The following is a 9,697-nucleotide window of genomic DNA, read 5'->3' on the forward strand; positions in this document are numbered from 1 at the left end:
TATTTATTTATTTATTTATTTATTTATTTATTTATTTTCAGACAGTCTTGCTGTGTCACCCAGGCTGGAGTGCAATGGTGCAATCTCAGCTCACTGCAACCTCCACCTCCCAGGCTCAAGTGATCCTCCTGCCTCAGCCTCCCAAGAAGCTGGGACCACACCTGGCTAATTTTTGTATTTTTTGTAGAGACAGGGTTTTACCATGTTGCCCAGGCTGGTTTTGAACTCCTGGCCTCAAGCCATCCACCTGCGTTGGCCTCTCAAAGTGCTGGGATTACAGGCATGAGCCACCATGCTCGGCCAATCAAACATTTTTTAAACATTTCTATGTGATTGATACTAAGGGTACAAGGGGACAAGAGCCCTAGTCCCTGCCTTGAAAAAAATACACAAGTAGAAGAATCCTTTAGAAAAATGTAAATTTTTTTATTCCTAAAAACAAGGTTTAAATGCATACTTTCTAAAGTCACTGAAAAAGAGAAAACAAACAAAAATATAGTTATATACCAAAGTACAGAAAATAACTGAACAAAGAATAAGATACAGAAATAACAGCACGAGACGAAAAATTAAGATCAAAAGAGATACCAATAAATAAAATGTGACAAATTATATCATGAAAATACAAAAAATTCAATTAAACAAATATATATATGTATATAGACACTATTTCTAGAAGTATCTCACAACTTTAGAACTAAAAGGATGACAAAGGGATAATAAATGAAAGCAAACACCAATAAAACAGAAATCACAATATTAGTAATATGTATAATAACAAAAATATTAAAATATGTAAAGCAAATATATTAAACAGAACAATAGAGGTTATTTTATAATCATGAAAGATCTAATTAACACCAAAAATATAACTCTCAGAAGTCTTTATATGTTTGTATTTGTGTTCTCTTGCTGCATAACACAATACTACAAACTTAGCAGCTTGAAACATTACTCATTTATTATCTCATAGTTTCCATAGGTCAGAAGTCTGGGCCCAGTGTAGTTGCGTGCTTATAAAAGTATTGGTTACTATTAGGATCTCACAAAATTGAAATTAAATCAAGATGCCAGCTAAGGTGTGTTCTCATCTACTCATCTAGGGTTTAGGATCCTCTTCCAAGCTCATTCAAGTTACTAGTGTTGGAAGTAAATGCTTGGTGCCACCAAGTGAAAATAGCACTCAGGCAAGTTTTCTCAGCAAGGCAATTTACTTCTATAGAAGGGTGCATCTCATGGATACAGCAATGGCGAGAGCACACCAGACAAGGGAGGGGAAGGGAGTCTTATTCCTAAAGCATGCAGCTAGCCCCTACTGCTGCCTCTCTCCCCTATTGGCTAGGGTTGGACCACACAGTCTAAGCTAATGCTGACTGGCTATTTTAAAGAGAGCAAGGGTACCACCCAGAGTGGTGGGGTGAGTAGTTTCGGTGGGAGGCATGGTTACAGAACAGGTGACTAAGGATGCCTAAGGACAGCACAGGTGACTAAGGATGGCTGAGGACAGAGCATGTGACTAAGGATCCCTAAAGACAGAACAGGTGATAGAGGCTAGGAGGGTAAAGAATGAGGACGTTAAACTTTAAAATGGAGGACAAAGGACAGGGAAGCTGAACATACTGACATATTGGTTTTTTGAAGAGGAACTCAGAATTCATTGTACTTAACAATTTTTCTTCCTCTTGAATTTTAAAGGAAGTTAACAGGCTAAACTTAGAAGAGGAATTTACTGTATCCTACATTAGTAAAATTCAGTTCCTTGAGACTGTAGGACTGGGGTGTCTGCTTTCTTGCTGGATATTGGCTGGGATCACTCTTAGCTCCTGGAAGCCGTGTGCAAGCCCTTGCTACACGGCCCCTCCCATAGGCAGTTCTCAACATGGCTGTTTGCTTCCGCAAGGCCAGCATGGGGCTCTCTCTCACTTCAAATCTCTCTAACCCCTTCTATTTCTGACCTTCCAACTCTCTTTTAAAGGTCTCACTTGATTTGGTCAGGCCCACTCAGGATAATCTATCATTTGATCAACTTAAAATTGATTGATTCAGAACCTTAGTTATATCTGCAAAATCCCTTCAACTTTTCCATATAACATAACTTAATCATGGGACTCATAGCCACCCACATTCCCAGATTTCTCTCACACTCAAGAAGAGGGGATTATTACGTGGAATGTATACTAGCCACCAGGAATTTTAGAGACCATCTTAGAATGCTACCTGCCAGTGTTGAATTGTTTTTCATGAAAATATATTAGTTGTTAATATATTAAGTATATTAACCATTAAAAATGCAAAAAGATGGATTTTTAAAAATATATAAGTAGTGTGTTATCATATATATTTCTGTCTTTGACAGACTGACTAGGCAGAAAAAAATGGACTACAATACAAGAAATCAGAATTATATAATTAAGATTGATTTGAAAGATTATTGGAACTCTAAAAACAGAATATAGTTGTTTTTCCATTGTCTTATGGACTTAATCCTGTATTTGATAAAGTGAAAATCTTGGAGTCTGAAAAGTAAATATTACATGGGCCAGTCTCTGAGTGCAAGACAATAGAGCTAACAGAAGAAAAAATTAACCAAAGTTATGCAGGCATTGAAAAAGTTTACTCTTTTAAATAATTTTTGATTCAAAGAAGAGAGGTGGGTATTACAATAATAACTTAGTGACAAAGGATTATAGAATGATAAGCATTCCAGCCAAAAACTTAGGGAAAGGAAATGAAACATAATCAAGGAATATAGGAAAAATAAATTAATTATAATAAAGCAAACATTAAAGAATTAAAACATTCAAAGTTTATTTTTTATGTTTGAAAAAGCAGTGAAGAATGTGGAAAGATATGTACTGACTTAACAGTGAGTGGTAATCCTTTGAGGTGCAAACACAATTGTCTTTTTTTGTGGTTTAAATTTGTTATAATAAGCTTGGATTACTTTTATAATTATAAATAGATGATAGGTAGACAAACAAGGAATATTCTGGTTTTTAAAGATTAGCTAGAAAGTTCCAAGTATTATATAAACCATTTTTCCAATATCTTTTTTTTCTCTTTGTTGAGACAGGGTCTTGCTCTATTGTCCAGGCTGGGTTCAAGCGATTCTCCTGCCTCAGCCTCCCAATTAGCATGGATTACAGGCATCTGCCACTACACCTGCCTAATTTTTTGTATTTTTAGTAGACATGGGGCTTCACCATGTTGGCCAGGCTGCTCTCGAACTCCTGATGTCAGGTGATCCACCCACCTGGGCCTCCCAGTGCTGGGATTACAGGCGTGTGCCACCACACCCAGCCCATTTTTCCAATATCTTATGGAACATATTTAAAAATTCATCATGCAATAGTTCAAAATTAATGTCTCAAATTCCAAAATACAAATATTATATAGGCGTTGTCTCAAAACTCAAATAATAAAACTATAAAATTATAATTTAAAAATAACTGAAAAAATAAAAAGTTAATTGTTTTTGACAAGTATTTTGATTTTTTAATTTTTTTAGTGGTTATAAATGTCTTTAGGTTTTTGTCTTTAAGTCAATTTTGGCAATTTATCATTTTCCTAGGAAATAACCTATTTTCTCTGGGTTTTCAAATTTGTTGGAATGAACTTGAACGTCAACTTCATTTTATTTTGAAAAAATTGTTTCAGTATTTTCTTTTTCTTTCTTTTTTTTTTTGAGACGGAGTCTCACTCTGTCACCCAGGCTGGAGTGCAGTGGTGCGATCTCAGCTCACTGCAAGCTCCGCCTCCCGGGTTCACGCCATTCTCCTGCCTCAGCCTCCGGAGTAGCTGGGACTACAGGCGCCCGCCACCGCGTCGGGCTAATTTTCTGTATTTTTATTAGAGACGGGGTTTCAACGTGGTCTCCATCTCCTGACCTCGTGATCCGCCCGCCTCGGCCTCTCAAAGTGCTGGGATTACAGGCATGAGCCACCGCGCCCGCTGTTTCAGTATTTTCAATACAATTTCTCATTCTTAATGTCTATAGTTATAATTTTTTTCTTAATTAACATTACTAGACTTTCACACGCTATATATATGTGTGTATATATATGTGTATGTGTGTATATATATATATTTGTGTTTTTTTTTTGTTTTTTTTTTTAGACTTAGTCTGGCTCTGTCGCCCAGACTAGAGTGCAGTGGCGCGATCTCAGCTCACTGCAAGCTCCGCCTCCGGGGTGAATTCACGCCATTCGCCTGCCTCAGCCTCCAGACTAGCTGGGACTACAGGCGCCCGCCACTACGCCGGGCTAATTTTTTGTATTTTTAGTAGAGACGGGGTTTCACCGGGTTAGCCAGGATGGTCTCGATCTCCTGACCTCGTGATCCGCCCGCCTCCCGCCTCCCAAAGGGCTGGGATTACAGGCGTGAGCCACCGTGCCCAGCCTGTATGTGTATATATATATATATTTTTTTTCAAAGAATTAGCTTTTAGATTTATTGAGAAATTGTACTATTGCTTTCTCTGCCGCTCTTGGTGCTGCTTGTATGCTCATTCTGAGAGGTGGCAGCGTGCTGGCAGCCTCGCAGCCCTCGCTCTCTCTAGGCGCCGCCTCCTCGGCCTTGGCGCCCGCTCTCGCGGCGCTTCAGGAGCCCCTTCAGCCCGCCGCTGCACTGTGGGAGCCCTTTTCTGGGCTGGCCAAGACCGAAGCCGGCTCCCTCGGTTTGCGGAGAGGTGTGGAGGGAGAAGCGTGGAGGGAGAGGCGCGGCTGGGAAGCCGGGCTGCGCGCGGCGCTTGCGGGCCAGCGCGAGTTCCAGATAGGCGTGGGCTCGGCGGGCCCCGCCCGTCGCAGCTACTGGCCGGCCCCGCCGGCCTGGGCAGTGAGGGGCTTAGCACCTGGGCCAGCAGCTGCTGTGCTCGATTTCTCGCGGGGCTTTAGCTGCCTCCCTGACGATCGCCGCCCCCTGCTCCACGGCGCCCAGTCCCATAGACCGCCCAAGGGCTGAGGAGTGCGGGCGCACGGCTCCGGACAGGCAGGGAACTCCACTTGCGCCCCCGGTGCAGGATCCACTGGGTGAAGCCAGCTGGGCTCCTGAGTCTGGTGGGGACTTGGAGAATCTTTATGTCTAGCTAAGGGATTGTAAATACAGCAATCAGCACTCTGTATCTAGCTCAAGGTTTGTAAACACACCAATCAGCACTCTGTGTCTAGCTCAGGGTTTGTGAATGCACCAATGGGCACTCTGTATCTAGTTAATCTGGGGGGGACTTGGAGAATCTTTATGTCTAGCTAAGGGATTGTGAATGCACCAATCGGCAGTTTGTATCTAGCTCAGGGTTTGTAAATACACCAGTCCACACTCTGTATCTAGCTAATCTAGTGGGGACCTGTAGAACTTTTGTGTCTAGCTCAAGGATTGTAAATGCACCAATCAGCACCCTGTCAAAACGGACCAATCAGCTGTCTGTAAAACAGACCAATCGGCTCTCTGTAAAATGGACCAATCAGCAGGATGTGGGCGAGGCCAGATAAGAGACTAAAAGCAGGCTGCCCGAGCCAGCAGTGGTAACGGGCTAGGGGCTGGTTCTATACTATGGAAGCTTGTGTTCTTTTGCTTTTTGCTATAAATCTTGTTATTGTTTATTGTTTGGGTCCACACTGCCTTTGTGAACTGTAACAGTCATTGCGAAGATCTGTAGTTTTACTTCTGAAGCCATCCTAGACCACGAACCCACCGGGAGGAACAGATAACTCCAGACAGGCCGCCTTAGGAGCTGTAAAGCTCACCGCAAAAACATGCAGCTTCACTCCTGAGCCAGTGAGACCACTGAACCCACCAGAAGGAAAAAACTCCAAACATATCAGAACATCAGAAAGAACAAACTCTAGACATGCTGCCCTTAAGAACTGTAATACTGCTAGGGTGTGTGGCTTCATTCTTGAAGTCGGTGAGACCGAGAACTCACAAATGTCAGACACAATCCGGTGCAGACTTGATACCTGTTTTATGAAGGGGCAGCTGAGGAGACTCTGGCGTTTCCCATGGCCTACGAAAAGCCCTAGGAAGGAGTCGAGCCTGAGAACAATGATCATATTAATTTGAAGGGGGCGGGGCGGTTCTGGGGTGCACTTTAAGAGGTATGCACCACTTAGTAAACTAATTAAAGCCTATTGTGAATGACAGGGATTGTCAATGAGGCAGGTCAGATTCTGATTTGATGGGCAACCCATCAATGAAATAGATAACACCTACACAGTTGGAGGATGAAGATACAATCGATATGCTCCAACAGCAGACAGGAGGTGTTTCCTGAAGAGAGAACCTGGTTCTTCACTCCAGAACTGTTAACTTTAAAGACCAAGATTACATTCGCAATTAGAAAACCGATTTGGTTCCACCACATCGTGAGTACTATAATATAGCTTTCTCTATTCTTTCATTTCCCCCTTCCCCATTTCTTTATTGTACATAACGTAACTGGTGTATGTGCACAAGCATATTCCTTTTTTTTTTTAACCAAGCAGCCAATGGTATGTTTCGATTGACATCAAGTGGTGACGGGATGGGGAAAAACACTGAGGCTGTGGAAATACCCCATTTTCTCCATTAGTGGCATGCTCAGTCGGCTCTTACGTTTATATTCCAGTAAGTTATTTTGCTCTCACTATTTTAACAAAAAAATAAAAAAAATCCTTGCATACCTTGTTCAGTTGGAGAATTTTAATGTTTTTCATTTACCATTGTAAAACCAAGGACAATTTTATACTTTTTTGTACGTAGCTGTTACGTGTAGGGCAATCTGTCTTTAGGGATAAATTACTCTAAAACAAAGAATCCTAGTTTTCCCTTCAAGTTAAGCATCTTGTTTAAACTCCTTGTTTTAAATGAAAAAAAGTATTATCATTCTGGTTTCTAATTTTTGAATTTTTGATGGCTGTCTCATTTATTTTCTTTGTTTTGCTTTTGTAGATAATCCTACAGGAAATACGCTTGACTTGTATTGCTCTATTCTAGTGCTCATATTTCTGTAAGGTAGATTTCTAAAAGGATTAAGGATTCACAAGGCTCAGATATTCTGAATTTGGGTGGATGCTGCCTAATTATCCTTCGAAAAATGTCTAAGCCTATACTTCCACAAATGACTGAACCTGTTTTTCTCCAAACCTCGTCAACTCTGGATACCACCTCTCTTAGTCATTTTTCCAGTCTGATGTGCAAAAACATGACATGGCCTATTTAAGTGCATAAAATTGATCAAGAGTGAGGACAGTCTATTGAATAAAAAAGATAAGTTCTCATGGTTAGTAAGAATAAAATGAGCCAGGATATTAAACATGGAAGAGTATATAGGCCTGTGAAAAGAGGGAAAATGAAGAAACCAGGAGAATTGTGGAATTTTTTGAGTGCAAGAAGAAGGGGGGCCTCTGTTTGCAGGAAAATAGAATAGGAATAATACAAAAATTTTTAATTAAAAAATAGAGAAAGGGGAGCCAGAGTAAGTGGGAATTTGATGAGGTTTAGTTGAGGTTTCAGTTAATGTCCTACGTGTGTACAGCTTCAGACTGGCCAGGCATTGGGTCTCCACTTCATGTCAATGATAAGATGATGTAATAGAGTAAGTCTTAACGAGGAGGGTAAGATCAGCGATCAGGTTGGTGGGCTCCACCTTGCAGGGAGGTCAGGAGGAGGTATGGGATGAGTGCTGGGTGACACAGGCAAGGGTCAAATTCTAAGGGAAGAAATTGCGTTAGGCACAGAAGGCCTAAACTGACGTGCTCAGGAGCGTCTGTGGCTGTTCCCTCTGGATTCATTGTTTCCAGGTCTAAAAAAGGAAGGAGCAGCAGAAGCAACTCAATGTTTTTTTATATTTGTTTGTACCAACACTATATTTTACAAATATTTACGTTTGTCTTTCATAATAGCCTTCTATTGCTGACTGGACCAAAGCCAAACTCAGCCTCCCTCCCTGACCTTTCTGCATGATGTCACCCTTTCTAGCATCTACCCACGGCACTCTCTTGTTGGCTTCCTTCCTCTCGTATGTCACAGTCATTTTCTTCACACACTCGACTTATTTTCAGTTTTTTAATCTCATGCTATCCCTACCCAAAGCAATGCTTTCTCTTGGCCCCAATCTCATATTTCACAAGTAAAATCCAATCCTAATCTAAAATAGTCTTTCCTTTTGCCAGAATATCATGGGCGATGTACTTCTATGAGCATATATCTCAGAGCTGCTCCACAGTCTTCTATTAGTATAAAGCGGAGAAGGCTGAACAGATTACTTTAAGGCCCTCAGCTCTGAAGTTGGGTTTTGGAGCCTGTGGTGTTCTTAGCTTTGGAAATTCCTCCACCTACTGGTTGCCTAAAATCCTGTCTGTTCACATTATATAATGAGGTTCGCAGTTGTTTTATGAGATCGGCCTATTTTTAAGAGTAACACGGGCCTCTTGTGAATGATGACACATTTCTAAGTCATTTCGAATTCCTAAAATAAAATTAAAAATGTGCTATAAAGAAAATATTTTCTTATAATAGAAAATGTTTTCAAGCAGATGACAAATTTCTTAATGCTTTTGAACAACCATTAGGGGGCAGAAAATCATTACACAGTATAGCAATTCAATCCACGTTAGGCTGGAGAAGAGAAAGCCTATTTTATGTGTATTTCCAAAAGTTAGTACCAAAATCAAGTTATTTTTCAGTGTAATCATTGATTTGGTGCTTGGGTATCTTATTTACAAAAGAAGCCTTCCGTAGTGGCTTTATTTTTTACAACTTGCTTCCTATCAGTGTATCAAATCAGATGAACCTTACTCTGAAGGAAACACTTTAGAGACCAATGTGACATCTTGGGGCAGGGTTGCCATATATGACTAGTAAGAATAGTTGAAATATGTTGATAAACTAAAAGTAAGTTTATCTCACTAAAAATTAGAGAAATTCATAACAAAACAATAGATTTATGGCTGCCCAAGTTTCAGGAACTCTCTTTTCAGTCACCCTATCAAACGATGGGTTCAAGCGTGGTTAAAAATAGTTCGCTACTTCTTTAACAGCTTCTCTTCCCCCAAAAAACAACTCCTTAAAGATTAGAATGCAATTATTTCTACTTCTCACTTCCATTCCCCCATCAGCCAGCCTTTCACCTCTCACCCCATGAAACTTCCCAATGAATGCCACCCTTGACTTCCTAATGGCCGAATCCAGGTTCTCTAATTGGAAGGATGATAAACAAGCACTTGCTAATTTAAGTTTAAGAGAAATTTATTAAAAGTATATCACAAGCTGGATACAGTGGCTCACGCCTGTAATCCCAACACTTTGGGAGGCTGAGGTGGGTGGATCGCTTAAGCCCGGGAGGTCGACACCAAACTGGCCAAAATGGAGAAACTCCGTCTCTACAAAAAAAACACACAAAAATATAGCCAGGCATAGTGGCACTTACCTGTAATCCCAGACACTTGAGAGGCTGAGGTGGGAGGATCACCGGAGCCTGGGGAGGTCAAAGTTGCAGTGAGCCATGATCATGCCACTGCACTCCAACCTGGGAAGCAGAGCGAGACCCCATCTCAAAAAATAAAATAATAGGCCAGGCATGGTGGCTCACGCCTGTAATCCCAGCACTTTGTGAGGCCAAGGCGGGCAGATCACGAGGTCAGGAGTTCGAGACCATCCTGGCCAACATGGTGAAACCCATCTCTACTAAAAATACAAAAATTACCCAGACGTTGTGGCAGGC

The 9,697-nt window shown here is 41.1% G+C and overlaps 1 pseudogene; it reads left to right on the forward strand.

Moving 5' to 3' along the window:
• On the forward strand, nt 5,997-6,268 carry SUMO2P13 (SUMO2 pseudogene 13; annotated as a pseudogene).

This window comes from Homo sapiens, chromosome 6 (assembly GCF_000001405.40).
Source record: "Homo sapiens chromosome 6, GRCh38.p14 Primary Assembly".
Lineage (NCBI taxonomy): Eukaryota > Metazoa > Chordata > Mammalia > Primates > Hominidae > Homo > Homo sapiens.